This window comes from Homo sapiens, chromosome 3 (genome assembly GCF_000001405.40).
Source record: "Homo sapiens chromosome 3, GRCh38.p14 Primary Assembly".
Lineage (NCBI taxonomy): Eukaryota > Metazoa > Chordata > Mammalia > Primates > Hominidae > Homo > Homo sapiens.
Genome location: NC_000003.12, coordinates 35,855,286 through 35,872,523, shown reverse-complemented (window position 1 = coordinate 35,872,523; position 17,238 = coordinate 35,855,286). Strand labels below are relative to the sequence as shown.

General features: G+C 36.6%; 1 pseudogene, besides 1 other annotated feature; it reads right to left on the bottom strand.

The window, feature by feature from the left end:
* Nucleotides 308-666, bottom strand: RPL36AP17 (ribosomal protein L36a pseudogene 17; annotated as a pseudogene).
* Nucleotides 15,278-15,327: a silencer, noted in NCBI's record as "silent region_14194". NCBI's record gives its function as "represses an Ori minimal core promoter by ATAC-STARR-seq in GM12878 lymphoblastoid cells {active_cell/tissue: GM12878}" and the evidence as "EXISTENCE:reporter gene assay evidence [ECO:0000049][PMID:35858748]".

Here is a 17,238-nt window from a genome sequence, read left to right as displayed (position 1 = left end):
TCAAGTATTTATGATTTTTATGTGTTAGAAACACTTGCAGTCCCCTCTTAGCTATTTTGAAATATACAATACATTGTTGTCAACTCTAGTCATCCTACTCTGCTATCAAACATTGTAACATTCTTTTCTGTTTAAATGTATGTTTATACCCATTATACATATCCTCAACTCCCTTACCTTCCACCATGATTGTGAGGCCTCCCCAGCCACGTGGAATTGAGTTCAATTAAACCTCTTATTTTTGTAAATTGTCCAGTCTCAGATATGTCTCTATCATCAGTGTGAAAACGGACTAATACAGTAATAAAACAAAAGATGACACTTAGAACTGGATCTCTTGGCACTTTCTCTTATTTCCTCCCAGTTCAAAATGCTTGCGTATTTTAATAGCCAGCATTTCCTTAGATCTGCAGTTGGGCTCCATACCCTCAAGCTTTAGCACAATCTTTGTAGTTTTAGCCTTTTTCCAGAAAATCTACTTAGTCTGCCTACCATAGCCACTCTGCTTCCTGTTAGAACGCCACTTTCCCTGGGCCTACAGAGAATCCTTGCCCTTCTTGTACTGTGTTACTTTGCGAGGTTGGTGCTTGCCCCACTTCTTACAGAAAGTCCGGTGGGTTTTAGAAACATTCATCATGTTTGTGTGAGTGCTATTGGCATGGAAAGGATCCCTATACATTTTCTTTGCCTTACTTTATTCACCATGTAAGACCTTAGGATGTTGTAAAAAGTGGTCTCTTACCCAATATCAGTGGAACTGAGAAATGTATTCGAATCTTACATTGGAGGATCCACGTTTTCTTGCAGAGAACTGAGCCAGGAGGAGGCAAGCAGAGGACCCTGCAGCAGTATTTATAATCAAGGATAATCAAGGTCTGCAGCAGAGGTGATAGGACTCAGTTATGCTTTCCCAAATTATGCCATCAGTATCTATACCTTCGAATCATACTACTATTGAAAGAGAACTGATATTGAGGGCTCAGAGGCAACGTTCTCTGAGCTCAGCATGAATATTGCAATCCTATGAAGTAATATTATTATCCCACTTTAGAGTTAAGGGACCTGAAAGTAAAGAGATTGACAACTTACCCAAGGGCACGGAACTAGTAAAGGTTGATCCAGTGTTTGTATCCTTTTTTTCTGATTCCAGAGCCCATGTAAACAAATATAGTACATATATCCTTCTTCCTCATGTCTCAGTGGTGAGCTTAGACCTCAGATAGCTTCGGGGGCAGTTTTTTATCAGCTCAGTATCATATCTTCAAACCATTTCTTCTCAGTCTTTACTGTGCACATGAATCATCTGGGGAGCTTTAAATGCAGATTCTGTTCGGGTGGGTCCGGGGTGAGGCTCAAGGATCTGTGTGCTAATAAGCTCCCTGGCAATGCTGCTGCTGCTGCTGCTGCTGCTGACACAGGCCCAAGCTTTGAGAAAACAGCAAGACTTTAACCCATCTGTAAAGTCTGTGAAGTTGAGCTGCAAAGTCGAGTAGGTCACATCTACACCTGCTTGCCTTGATTGGCTGAACAATTCCAGCTGCTATGCATTCCCCTTCAGGGGTCACTTGCTTAGTGAAGGAGATACATAAGCTGTTTCATCAATTTGCCCACAGTAAATGGCATTACAAAAAAAGAATTTCTATGTCTCTCTCTGATGTTTTTTCATGCTCTGAAGAAGGCTGTGAAATAGGTAATTTATGCCAGCAGTTACAGATTACACATTTATTTAGCTAACTGACTGCAATAATAAGACCCCACAGGGGGCCAAATGGGGTTTCGTGGTCTTTACAATGCTGAAAATCTGTCCAAATTTAACAATTATGTAGGTTTCAATGGTCTCCTTATGCAATCCCAGATAAAAAAAAAAAATCAATCCTTATGATATAAAATGTGAATCTGGCTAGTGACCTATTGGTGTGCTCTCCAAAGAATTTGTAGCTATTTTGGATTTGATTTCCAGACACACAGGAGAAAGTGGAACTGTGTAATTAATTCAATAGTCTACACATGTCTAAGAGGCTGTAACACCTCTGATTACCTCTTTCATCCTGTGTGGGACTCAGGATGAAGGCAAGATTGTCTCCTTGGCTGTTTCTGCTGTGAATTTCTTCTCTGGTAATCCCTAACAGCATGTATTTTGTACTGAAAAAGTAAGGCATGAGAAATGAAACTATGGGAGAGTTAGTTAATCCTTGGGATATAGCGATCCTCTATGATCTCGCCAGGCAATGTTCTAGAGGTGATGCAGCTGAACAGATGGCACCTGTAATGTCTTTTCTTTCAACATAAACAGGACAAAAACAAAAACAAAAAAAAAAAGAAAAAGAAAAAGGCATTTGTCTGGAGTGGAGTCTAGAGATAGGGCACTTTGGGTTTCTCTGTTAGGTTTATAAAATTTGGGGAGGTTATCTTTATGATGGAGAATACAAAACTACTTTGATGCACTTGTGCGTGAGGAGGGGATGATAATTATTAAACCCAATTAGCCCTAGCCAATTCACTTTTGCCTGTATTGTTGCTCATTGATTTATCTCCAGCTTCTGGGCCTTCTTCTTTCATTACCCTTCTGCCATTCCCTATGTCAGCTGAATATAATTTCTTTGCTTTGTTCTGTCACTTCATAAGTCCTTGTCTTCTTCAGTGGCTTTTCAGGATATCATCTGAACTCCAAGGATGGCTTTTGAGGCTTCCTGTGGCCCCAGAGACATTTTGGAAACTTGAGTTGTTTCAGGCAGGCTTCATTACCTTTTTGTCATGAACTTCCTCATCTGCAAATAATTTTTTTCTCTTGTTTCCTCTTTCTTCCACAAGCCTAGGAATCGAGGGAGAAATATGTCATTTACTCCTAAACACATTTAACTTTGTGAGTTCAGTTATTTTTGCATTTCTTCTTGCATCCAACAAGGTATGTCCCATCTCCATCTTCTCCATTTCCCTGCCACATTAGTTACCATGTATGTATGTGGTCCACATAGGTGAAAGGCACGATCCCAGGCACTTTATGTGCATATCTTATTTAATATCAGATTTAAGGAACTGTTATTTCTACTCATTATCTTTTACATTTCTCCTTGAGATCCTAAATTATAATTTTTTTGTTATATCCAGGAGTGGGATTGTTGTGTTCTAGAGTTTGAGCATTCTCAGTTCCACTAAATAGTGCCAGATTTTTTTTCTGTCTCAGAAGAGAGTACCGGTTTATGTTCCCACTAAGAGTGCGGAAGGTACCACATTTCTTTACAACTCTAAAATATTTGATATTTCAGTTGCTCAGATCTTTGCCAGTCTGTAAGGGTATAAATTGACATCTTTTTTTAAGTATTTTACCTTCTGATCCTTTTTCAACTCCTTATTGAAATGTAATAAACATACAGAAAAGTATACATGTGTACATCTCAATACCTTTTTACAAATAGAACACAGTGTGTAGCTGTCGTGCCAAAACTCTATTGACTCCAACGGGGATGGCACCAGGTTCAAGAGGCCAAAGAAGAGACCCAGAACCAGAGAATGAGACATGGGGTGTTATCAGGAGCTTCTATACAGGGGAGAGAGTCCAGTGGTGGTGGGCTGGACAGAAAAACTGCAACCACTTTCAGAAAGCATTCAGTTTACACAAAATTTTCACTTAACACTCTCCCCCTAACAACCTCCACCTGGCAATCTTCGTTTAACCCGTAACAAAGGGTCTCGATCTCTAGTATGGCATGCTTCCAGGGGCTGGGCCAGGGACACAGATGTTCCTCTTAGATAAGGAATGGATCTCCAGGTTGGCTACTCCTGGATTCCTTAGCGCCAAAACCTGAACATTCAGGTGCATCTGCCATACAGGATTATTCTTAGGGTATGAGCAGATTACCACTGTCAGGTGCATCTACCATACAGTAACCAATCCAGATCAATACAGTTTTGCATTTCCCTGATTACTGCTAACCAATGTTGAATCTCCTGATAATAATTAGCCATTTGAAACCCCCTCATTTCATATCCTTTGCCCATTGTTCTACTGGGCTGCTGCTTTTCAATTTCCTACTGCACAAGGCATTATTTTACATTCTAGAACTTGTTTATGTTAGGTGTTATAACACCTAACTGGTCTATCTTGGGTGTTTAGGAGTTTTAATAAATATTAGGGATATAACAGATGGAGAATAGAAGACACCATGTTTCAAAAATCGTGTGTACTGACAGAAAGCCAAAGACCTGGTTTTTAAAGCAGAAAACTTTTTCACCCATCATAGTAAAGAAAAATGCAAACTCCAGCCAGTGAACAGAGATTATACAGTGGCTTATTTGGTCTTAAAAGTAAAATAGAACACTTCTATGGACTTTTTCAGAAAAGTTATAGGGAAAAATATATATCCAAATCCAAACACAAACACAAACTTCAGCTAATCCAATTTAACATCTGTTGGCATTGCTGTTTCTTTTCATGAAATAAAGTCTTCTGCTTGGTGAATATAATTGCTTTGCTTTAATCCTGTTGCTTTGCCTTCCCTTCACTCAAGGGTCTTTGATTGACAGCTTGATGGGTTTTCTTAGAATTAGATTCAAGTGAGTCCACTAAATTAACTGAAAGGGCTATGCATTTTAGACCACCTGTTCCTCAGCTGTCTCAAGCTACAAGCATGTCAGATAGTTGACTGAGCTTAATTTACCTCATTCCTTAAAACAAGCAATCAATCAAATTTGTAGAATATAAAAGGAAAATGCAGCATAATTGGAAATTGAGTGAAGACAAACCTCTTGAATTCCAGTGGAACTTTTCCTCTGATGCTTACTGTCAGGCATCAATAAATGAAAATTATTTCCAAGGAATACTGTGTACAGCTAAAAATTACCAGAAAGACCTCTTCCTAAGAATGGAAAATACCTTCAGCAGACTCCAACAATCAATGCTTGAGGAGTACTTGGGCATTTCTAACATATGCATACACAAAGGACTGTGGGGGATAAATGCGGACTATCCCAGGGAGGCAGGAGATGCTGCAGTTGCTGGAGAATAAAAACAATTTGTGTTATTAAGGTCTGTAAAGGTCCTCCGGTGGATTACAATGCCTTTAAGACACAGCCTTAGAGAGAGGCACACCTGTGACACAGGGTCCAAGAAGAGAAGGGAATTGAGACAATTAGATAAACTGCAAGGGAAAGAACAAAATTTCAAGGGAAACTTCATACCTGAGGTTACTAATGTTCCAATTTCCTGACACTGCAAGAAGTCAGCAATGTTCCAGATAATACTTTAGAAAAGGAAATGAAGGTTTACATGAGTTTCTTCTCTCCCTCATATATCTTAATTCCGTAGAAGCAAAATTAAGCTCTTAAGAGGAATATCAGATGGAACATTATTGGCAAAAAAATGAGTGTTTGTTGAATAAATAAAGACATTTAAAAAGCAAACCTAAATACACAAGCAATAGAGTCAAAAGATCTGTCTTATTGATAGGCATGTCAATAGGCTGAAACCAAAAGGTTTCTGCTGTCTGCTTTCATTGTCTTAGATACCACTTATTGTTTTCTATGACTTTTAATGAGCTCTAGTATTGAAACTTGAAAAAATAAAATTGCATATGATAATTACTTTATAGGCAGAGAATTACCTTGCTTTCTGAATTTGGAATGTGGAGCCCAGCTGACACTGTGATCATCTTTGTTTTGTGTTATCTATTTGGACTCTTCAAATTGGAAAGTCCTGAAATAATTGTGCAGAACTAATGTAACATCCATGGCCCTCAAGGACAGATACTGTTATTAAGGTCTGTGTAGGTCTTCCAGTTGACTCCCATACCTTTAAGACACACAGGCACACCTGCTCCAGTGAGAGATTCCAGGTGTCACCTACTGAAGGAGTTTCTATTATTGATTCAAAATAGAACTACCCAGGAACCAAGAGCTCTTCTAGCTAGAAAGGCCCAGAATAAAAAATTAAGAAGGGCCTTAATTTTTAGAAATGTTTTTACTATGCTAAAATATAACATAAAATTGTCAACTATTTGGAGGACATAATTCAATGATGTAATTATAGTTATGATGTTGTGCAAGCATCACCACTATCAATTTCCAAAACTTTTCCATCACCCTAAAGAAGAACCTTATACCCATTAAGCAATAACTCACCATTTTCCCTCCCCTCTGCCCTTGGGAACCTCTAATCTATTTTCTGTCACTATAAATTTTCCTATTCTAGATATTTCATATAAGTGGAATTACACACCATTTGTCCTTTTGTGTCTGTCTCATTTCACTTAGCAAATTATGATAATATGGGAGTTGATATCTGTGTGATAAAATGGTGAAAGTAGACTGATATCCCCCCAGGCAACAGTAAATTTGCACTTTTTTGCAAATCTGTACAGAGAAGAGAGAAGTACACATTTATTTCTTTCTGATCAGTAGTTACACATCCAGCCTCAGGCCCATGTTGATTTGTGTAAAAAAATCTACAACTTTCTTTCTTTTTTTTTTTTTTTTGAGAGAGAGTCTTGCTTTGTCACCCAGGCTGGAGTACAGTGGTGCAATCTCGGCTCACTGCAACTTCTGCCTTCCGGGTTCAAGTGATTCTCCTGTCTCAGCCTCCTGAGTAGCTGGGATTACAGGCGCACACCACCATGCCCCGCTAAGTTTTTGTAATTTTGGTAGAGCCGGGGTTTCACCATATTGGTCAGGCTGGTCTCGAACTCCTGACCTGATGATCTGCCTGCCTCAGCATCCCAAAGTGCTGGGATTACAGGCGTGAGCCACCGCACCTGGCCAAAAAAATCTACAACTTTCTAAACAGCAGTGGTCATTGGAATTTATTCATGATTAAATTTTCACCTACCTTTCACTTTCAAGATCCTACTGCCACCAGTCCTTAACATTCAATAAGCACTTAAAGGATGTTATTCTTGTCTGCAACCTATTCTGGTACCAAATACTATATCAGTTTGAACTCAACTGTTGATAACAAAAATACACTTGACAGTTTAAGCAGATACAGAGTGTAATACATGGAATTAAAGGTTTACAAAATTATTGGATGAACCACGGGAGCAGTCTCCAGGCTGAGGCTCTATGGATGACCCTTAGAACAACACAGCACACTAGCTCATAAAGAAAACTGCTTCCTCTGCCTCAGCCAGGAAGCTCAAAATCACAAAGCAACTGCGCCAATTTGTAGAAACAAATCACCTTAGCTAAATTTGGGTAGCAGAAAACTATCGCAAGAACTGTTGGTTTTGGAAACATATCACCTTATTAGTGATCTGGTGCTACCTGTGGAGGGTGTCCAGGTTCTTGGCATTTTGAACAAAGAATTGGACAAAATTTACAAACAAAGCAAAGAGAATGAAGCAACAAAAGCCGAAATTTATTGAAAGTACACTCCACAGGGAAGGGAGTGGGCCAAGCAAGTGCCTCAAGAGCACTGGTTACAGAATTTTCTGGGGTTTAAGTGCCCTCTAGAGGTTTCCCATTGGTTACTTGATTTAAACCCTAGGGAAATGTAGAAGTGGCCCATGATCAAGCATTGTCTTAAGTGACCAATCGGAGGCTGAAGTGAAGTTACAAAGTTATACTCCTATGCAAATGAAGACTTGACCTACCACCAGTCTGACTGGTTTGGGGAGGGGACCAATCAGAAATACTTTCAATTTTTTATCTGCCATGCAGAAAAGTGGGGTGGGGGTTGAAAACAGAGTAGCCTCTGGTCCTTCTGTTACTTGTGCATGAAAGTTGGGGTTTTCCTTCTGATTTAGTTCTAGGAAGTCAGCATGAATCGGCCTTAGGTTCACTGCCTCCAGAGCCTGTTCTCCTGCCTCACTGGGTTACAAGAAATTGCAACAAAACTTGTTTATCTTCTGGGCCAGGGCATTCCCACTTTAACCAGAACTTGCAAAATGGACACCTTGCTTGCTATCAACTTATTTCTAATTCAAGTCAGAGCAAGTATATGTTACTGATAGAAAGTAAGTTGTATGCAGACTTCTAACTACAAGAACAATTGCAGCTTTCATTTCTTTTCAGTTTCTGTAGTATAGGAAGTTATTCTGGAAAGTCTAGAACATATGATTAGTGAATGAATCTTCCATCTCCCCTAGAAGAACTGACTGTAGCTTTATTCAATGTTTTAAAAGAATTCCTAAGGCATACAAAAAGGAAAAACTTTCTGGTGTTTGCACAGAACCAAGTAATTACACTTTATCTGGACTCTGGTCATAATGATAAGATACTACATGCAACAATGGACCTTACTGAATCCCAATAATGAAATCATCAGAAGCTAGGTTAAGTGATCTTTTGTTTAATAATGCTTTAAAAATTGTTACTAATACCTAACATTTTTCCCAAAGGCATTAACATACTGTGTGATATAAATTATTTAGAACAATGATTTCCTTTTTAACATCCTGTTAAAAAAATATACGTAACTTAAATGCAATTCAAGCAATAAATGGAAATAAATGTACTTTTGTCCTTTGTTTCTCATTTGGTTTTTGTTTTCCTTTTGGTTTTGTGAAAATGTATTTCTGGAATAACTTAATATATCTCTTTTTCAAGATCTCTGTTAGATATATCCTCATAAACCAAGCCATGACCAAAGCACTGGAGTGGTGAGTTTGATTATTTGGAAGAAAGTATGACAATAGTAAGTTCAGATGAAGCCAGTGAATATTTTATCCACAAAAGAGCTACTTGCCTTCTGAATAATCTTTTAAAATGATCTGAGATGTTTCAAAGTTCAGATTTTCTACAGGAAACCATAGCTGAAAGTTGAAAACAAAAATGTAGGCTGGGTGCGGCGGCTCACACCTGTAATCCTAGCACTTTGGGAGACCAAGGTGGGTGGATCATTTAAGGCCAGGAATTCGAGACCAGCCTGGGCAATATGGTGAAACCCTGCCTCTACTAAAAATACAAAAATTAGCCAGGAGTGGTGGCACACACCTCTAATCCCAGCTACTCAGGAGGCTGAAGCAGGAGAATGGCTTGCACCAGGGAGGTGGAGGTTGCAGTGAGCCGAGATCACGCCACTGCACTCCAGCTGCGTGACAGAGCAAGACTCTGTCTCGGGAAAAAAAAAAAAGGAAACAAAAATCTAATATTTTAAGGCAAAAAAACTAATAATACTTGTTACCTGGAAAACAGTAACTTAATTATAACTTGGTCGCTTCTAACTTTAGTATCCAACTTAAAACTGTCTTTATAACATCAAGGAAAAAGCATAAACGAAGTTAAATGTGTTAAATTTCATAACAAATAATTTGCAAATTACTTACCGCTAAATTTTGTTTTCTTGTCATCCACTAACAAGCTGGATTATAAGTTTTATATAAGTGAAAAGAAAAAATAGGCGACATATACATAAAATGCACACATTTGAAATTTAGGTCAAACTGCATTCACGTCCTTAAATGGTCACTTTTATGTTGGAAATAGTAAATGACTGTCTGTAAGCCACAAAAAGAGTAAACATTTATTGTGTGCTGTCTATGGGCCAGTCACTATTATAAGTAAACCATCCATATTGTGAACCGTGTAATACTCACAATAGGGCTAGATGGTGGGTAGTATAACTATGATGATGGACAAACATGTGATGAAACTAAGGCACTGAATAACTGACCTGAGGCCACACAGATAAGATGTGGACAACAATATTTGAACTCAGGAGATTAAACTGTTTCATATCACACGAGCAGCACTAAAAGAAAAGTGGACTGAAATACAATGAGTAGGAGAATGAAGAAAGAATCTTTCCCTTCCTTCTACTCATCCTCATTTCTTCAGGCACCCTTAGGCCGCTGTGTTGTCAGGGAAGAGAAAGCTGTTGTGTTTTCTTCCAACTCAATATAGCAGTTGCTCTGGGTTGCATCTTAATAGCAGTGGTGGTCCCAGCTTATACCCATAAACCAAAGTAGATTAAAAATATTTTGATTATTTTTGCTGACTATATCCTTATCAGTGGGAGATATATGGTAGACATGAGTTCTAAACTTGAAAGCTCAGTAAAATTCGTTTCACTTTCAATCCACATCTGTCCCTGTGTATCACCCTTTACCAATATAAATAGATAATGAATAAATAAATAATAAATACTCTTCTCAACCCGACTCCAACACTTTCTCAAAGATAGAATTGGCTAGTGCACATGTTTCCCCTGATTGATTTTATCTTGTTTAGGGGTGTCCTTTGGCATTTTTAAAACGCCACCCTGAGGAAGAATCACCAGGAGGATCGCCTGTGTAATTTCACGTCACATGGGCCCTGGACTATTTTTGACAGTGCACCTAATGTGTTGATAACACTCCTGCACTTTGCAAAATGCCAACACTCTGTAGGCTTTCCTAGATATCTTCTACATTCTGTCAACACCAACCTCTTAAAAATGTTTCCTCTTCTCTTTTTATTGCCTTTAGAATTAATATTTTATTGTAGTTTTTGTATTTTTTGATAAATTTGTTGTAAATTATATATTCCTTTTATATTTTAGTGTGTAGACTTTACATCTTAAAATGAACACTTATGTTTTAAAGTTAATCATGTTTCTTACTCTTTTGTGAACAATACTCTAAGTAGAATTATTATTTTTTTACCAGTAAATATTTGTGTTTATACATCCACGTGTACTACTTTCTTTGCTTTTTACTCTTCCTTGCATCTAAAATCTTCCATCTCATCACATTATTTCTGCACTATCAATGAATGTTTTATTTCAATTACCTATTTTTTATTTTTAAAGTTCTTTTAAAAAATGTGTGTATTCCTTTTTATTATTATTATTATTATACTTTAAGTTTTAGGGTACATGTGCACAATGTGCAGGTTAGTTACATATGTATACATGTGCCATGCTGGTGTGCTGCACTCATTAACTCGTCATTTAGCATTGGGGGGGAGGGACCTAAAAATGTGTGTATTCCTTATTCATATTTTGTATCCTTTCAAATGAATTATTTATAAAAGACTAAACATTTTATTTTGTCATTTCCTAAGTTCAGTGTCTTTAATTTTTAGGCTGTTCCTGCTGACTAGCTTATATCCCTTATTTTTCTGGGTATTTCATGAGTTTTCTTCCTGTGAGCTGCTAATTTTTCCTGCAACTGTATGCATGCACATTTTTTGAGGTCTGGAATAATGTGAGTTTTTCAATAGAGAACTTTCAAATGCTCTCATAAGATGCCCTAAGGGACTGCACTTTAAAAACAACTTTAAATTAAATACATGATTTAATTACTTTTACGTCACTCCCACAGTTTATTTGTGTTTACTCTTAGTAAAGTGCCTGCCTAAGTCCTTTATCCATTTTTCTACTATATTCCTTATCTCTTTCATATTGAGAGTCTCACAATTTTAGATAAGAATACTATTTTGATGCCATATTTATTTGTGTCATAAATATGACACAAATATTTTTTCTAAGTTTGTGGTATGTCTTTTCATTTTGTTTGTGGTAGGTTTTCAGAGGTGGCATTTATTTCTTTTAATGTAGTCATATTATTATTTCTCTACATTTTGTTTAAGAACTACTTCTCTTTTATGTTATACATGTATTAATAGTTCATATTTTTCTAATGTTTTATAGTTTTGCCCTGCACTTTTAAGCAGTTTATCCACAAAATATTTTTGTGAAAAGTCAGAATTGTAATTTGTTTTTTCCCCATATGTATAACAAATGTAGAAGACACTACCCATTGAGTAATCCATCCTCTACCCACTTATCTGCAATGACAAATATAACAAGGATTATAATTCTACTTTGCCATCAGTCTGTTCTTAGAGTTCTGCTCTCTTCAATTTGGTCTATTTGTTTATCACTAAGTCAAAATTACACTGTTTTAATTGGTAGCCTTTAAAACAAATCTTTATATCTTGTTAATAAATCTTTGTTTCTTGCTTCCCACCTTGTTATTTTCCTTCATTATTTTGACTATCTTTTGGCTTTGTCTTCTCATATACATTTTAGATTAAGTTGTCTATTTCTGTCAGTCATCTACTGTCTTTTCTATTGGCGTTAGGTTAGAATGAAGAATCAGAATGACATTATGCTAGCTATTCCTCTAGTATTTCCAAATTTCTACATTTAGAAATTTAAAGGAGGGAAAGTAAAGTTATCATTTTTGGGGCACGTGTTTCTTCATTCTTATTTTAAAACATAAAACAAAATCAAACTATGTAATAAATACTTTATATTGTGTCTTTGCCTACTTTTCTATCATATTTTCGTTTCCTATCTCCATGATTTGATTCTTTCATGCATTGATTATTTCATGCATTATTTGATTCATGCATCGAGGCATTCATGGGTACAGTTTACCTGGGTCAGAAGTTTCTATTTGTCTACAAGTAGAAACTCTCAGATAACTCTTTTTCCCCTCCATAAAAAAGCAACATTTGATCTTAAATTACTGAAGTGTATGGCTAAAACATCTAAATTCATTTGATGTTTAGACCCTTCCCAGCAAGGGCTTAAAAATAAAACTTTAGATGAGGAATGGAAATGCAACAATCTGTTTAAATTAAGAATCTCCTCTAAGAATTTTAAGGGGACCTACCACTCTCTGAGATGGATCTTGCTCAAAAATGAACCCTAATTTATTACTTCCAGTCCCGGTTTTTCTGTTGCTCAGTTGGTACTGAGGGCTAAAAATAGCAACACAGCAAACACCCAAAACACACAAAGTCTAACAATTTATGCTGCCAAAATGTAGAGAGAAAGTAGTACAAGAATATTCAGCAAATATTCAATCTCTTAGGGAATTAAAGGAAACATTATTCTCAATAACAGATTATCTCTAGGTTGAAAATGTAAAACTTTTTTTAACAGCTTCAGTCCATCTTGGAACTTGGATTTTTGCCCCCTTCTATTTGTGGCATTGACATAGCTCAGCAAATTTTTGTCTCAGAAAAAATTGAACAAGAGTAATTCTATTTTTTTCTTTCTGCTTTACAAATACAGCATAAACTTAGACTGTTACTTTCAGAAGTCAAATTTACAGATTCAACTTTGTACTACTAATCTTCCTTTTAAAGTTATATTTGTATCTACATTTTCAGCCAATATTTACTGTGTGCCTCTTCTGCGTCAGACATATCTTTAGGTACAGCATTAGAGAGAAAATACAGACATAATTTCCTACTCCTAAGGGGATGCAGCTTAATAGATGAAGACATTCAACCTTTGGCCCTTATCTATTCAGAATTGGTTTTTGAGTGATGCTTTGGGGGAAATCATCTCCTGATACAGAAAAACAAGAAGAAGTAATGAGACACGAAACACAGTGTGCACCTAAATTCATTTTAAATATACTTTAGTGAATAAGACAAGCTAGACAACTCTAGCTTCTGAAGACACATTGAGATTGAGTCATGGTCCCAGATTCTACTGGGAGAGATAGCTATCTAAACAGATTATTTTAATATCATATGATTAAAGGAAGCTCCTCACAACTTAGATTGAGACAAGTAAGATTTCACAGAGTAGGTAGCATTTGAACTAGTAAAATTATACAGTGAGTTCAGTAAAGACAAGATTTTCCATGTGGACGTTTTATGGGAAAAGGGGGAATTACACTAGATTTTACTTAATGATGAAGAGTGAAAGTCTAGAGTAAGCATTTTGCTAAAAATAGATTTGTCTTCATTGATAAATACTTCAAACAGCACTTGACTCAGAAATGTACCCAAACATTCTGTCTCCAATGAAGGAGAAACTCACTTTTAAACCATTTTTCATTTCAAATAACATTTTGTAGCTGTCTTCTAGTGGGTATGAACTGTCAACTCTCATTCATGTTTCCTTCCTTCTTGGGGTCTCCCTTTCATAGATATTGAGATCCTATAACCAGTAAACTTTTCCTAAAAAGTGTGAAGATCATGTGCAAACTGGAGAACATATGAGTCCCTTTGCTATCACATTGCTATTGATTTTATTTAAATAAATAAAACTTTCTACTTCAAAGAAGAAAGCTTTGATCACTTAAAGTCCCCAAGAAGGCTAAAGGTGGCACTGAAGTTGCCTTTCTCTGGGGATAATAAGTATAATTGGCTCAGTCACGAAGAGCACCTGTAGCATTAGAGCACCTGGTTAGCTACATGGATCCAGCTGTCCTTGACACCCCACTTTATGAATTAACTGAAAAAGAAAAAAAGAGGTAGAAGAAGGCAAAAGAGTCAGAAGGTAAGGATCAAAAACAGAGGGGTTTAGATGACAGTGCCAAAATTACATCTGGGGGAAGAGTAACACTGATTTGGCATAGATTCATTGAGAAGACTAAACAGAATCAATTTATAGCAAGCCTTTTATGAACTCTTTTAAGCTCATTTTTGTCTCCACTCAAATTATTGGCATGTCCTTGCACAATAGTCAAGAATGACAAATACCAAACAATTAATCAAGCAAAACTATCAGCATTTCAAAATGATTAATTTATGTGATACAGAGAAACTGTGATATACCAGGCATTGTAGGTAAGTAAAGCAAGCCCTGTATTGCTAATGGCTTACAACTGGGTAGAAATCAAGAGAGATTACTCATTCATTAATTTAACAAATATTTATTACACCTACTAAGTACAAGATTGTGTTTTTATTAATGAGTAAATAGCAGGGAACAAAAACAATAGGTTTTCTGCTTGTGATAGCTTATATTCAAATGAGAAAGAAAGAGAAACAATAAACATGTAACCAAGCAATTAAACACATACATAATATATCTACAGATAGTGACAAATGTTAGCGGGGGAAAAAAGGGAAAGAAAATGACTGGGTAGATGTACAGGAGGATACTTAAAATTGAGTGGACAGAAAAGTATCTTTGGGAAGAAGTTTGAACTTTGACTTGAGGGATTAAAAGCGATCATTCACACAAAGTACTAGGGAGACTGTTTCAGGCAGTCAAAGAAGTTAGTATGCTAAGAGTAAATTAGTTTGGCATGTTTGCAGAACAGAAAGAGGCTACAGTAGCTGAAATTTGGTAAATAAAGGAGAAAGTTTTATAAAAAGTTCAGAGAAGTAGCCAGGCATCTGGTCATATAGACTCTACATTGTAGAGTCTGGAAATACGTGATTAAAAATTTAGATTTTCTTCTAATTGCAGAAGCAGACAGCTAATGGTTTTAAAAAAGAACTGAAATGTTGTCAATTACATTAATAAAAAATGACTCTAGCTACAAAGTCTAGAAGAGACCATTATACACGCACCAAGAATGGAAGCAGGAAATCAATGAGGAAGTTGTTTTAGTAATTCAGGCAGAGTAGATGATGGTAGAAGTGACCATGATAACAAGCAGTTAGAGTGAACATGTATTTAGAAAATAGTGTAGCTAGATCTACTTGATCTAGTGCAGATAGATCTTGGCTTTGATATGAAAGCGAAAGAAAAAAGAGGAACCAAGAATAATTCTTTTGTGGGGAGCAGGCTTAAAAATCAGGTAACGATGTTATGATGATGGCATTTACAAAAAACAGGCAGATTTTAGAAGGTGCATTTTTGAGGAAGAAAATAAGAATTTTGTTCTGACATGTTCAGTCTGAGATGATTGTTGCACATTTAAGAGATATCCAGTAGGCAGTGATCATATATCAATGAAGGTGATATTACTGGGAGATAGCACTTTGAGAGGCCATTTGTGCATTGAGGGCATATGAAGACATATGTCCTAATGAAAAGTTTTTTGCAGTATTAAAAATTAAATAACTAGGGGCTTCTGGTTCTGAAAAGAGATGGCATAGACTCACTTTCCCTCCTCCTCTCCTCTAAATACAACTGAAAGCCCTAGAAATAATTCAACAGAAAACCAAAATATAACTCTGGGTAAGAAGAAGGTGAATTTATTAGGGATATCAGGACTTGAGGAAAGAACACGGTGAGTTCTCTGGGTTTTTGTTTTTTGTTTGTATTGTGGATTGGAGACTGGAGAGGTTTGGACTGCAATCCAAAACCACCAACAGTTGTAGACAAAATGATCAAACAAATAAGAAAACCTGGCTAAAGAACGGGAAGCCGAAGCACATCAGAGAGCCAGTGGGGTGTTTCAATCCCTTCTTCACAACCACACACTGGCAGTATCTCCAATTTACCCATAAAGTCACAGGAGAATCTCCAGTGGAGCAAATAAAGTCCACAGTGGCAGCGAGGACCCTGGCCACTCCACAGCCAGATCTCCAGCCAGCGGTCTAATTCTACCACAGCAGCAGCAACAGCAACAAGAGCAGCAGCAGCAGCAAAATCACAGTGCAACTATCCAACCCCTGTTCCATAACCAGCTACTTGTGGGTAGGGTCATCAGCCCAAAAACGTAGTATCAGAGAAGCTTAGCATCTCCAGCGAGTGTTATAATGAGACCCAGGTCCAACACCTCAACCTCTACAATAGCATTGCAATGGGTCTGAAATCTAAACACACTGGGGTTGTAGCTCACATAAGCAAACCAGAATTTATGCCAGAACAAAACTTAAACTAAAGCCAGACTAAACCTAAATAAGGCAACTGCATGCTAAAATACAACACTGAAAAAGGATCAAAAGTATTCTAATATAATGAGCAAACGATATGAGATATACTAAGAACAAAGGACCGAGAATCACAAGTTCGGTGACAATAGACAATCAACTGATGTCAATAGCAAAGTAAATCAGTGGTGAAATTGTTTGACAAGAATTCTAAAGCAGCCATCATAAAATTCTTCAATAAGCAATTATGAATTTTATTGAAAATGATGAAAAAGAGATCTCATTAAAAATTGATATTATAAAAATAATCAAATAAAAGAAAGGCAAAATATGATAGCCAATATTTAAAAAAAATCTGGATACTCAGTAGCAGAGAGGAGAGGACAGAGTATAGCATCAGTGAGTTTGAAGACAAAGCAATGAAATTTACTCAAAGAAAAAGTAGAAAACAAAACAAAACAAAAAAAACAGTGCCTTAAGAACCTGACAATAAAAACCAGTTCAACATTTGCACTGTTGATTAGTCAGGAGAGAATAGAAGAGAGTGTGAGATGGAAAAATATTTGAAGAAATAATGGCTTAAAAGTTCCCAAACTTGCCGAAAGGCATAAATCTACAAATTTCAAAAATCGGGTTAACTCCAGATGGGAAAACCTAAAGAAATCTAAACCAAGACACATCATAATTACACGCTAAATAACTAAACACAAAGAAAAAAATAGAAACAGCTAGATAGCTAGATAGACAAAATTATAGAAATAGATATTACCTACAGAGTTACACCAATTTGAATAACAGATTTCTCAT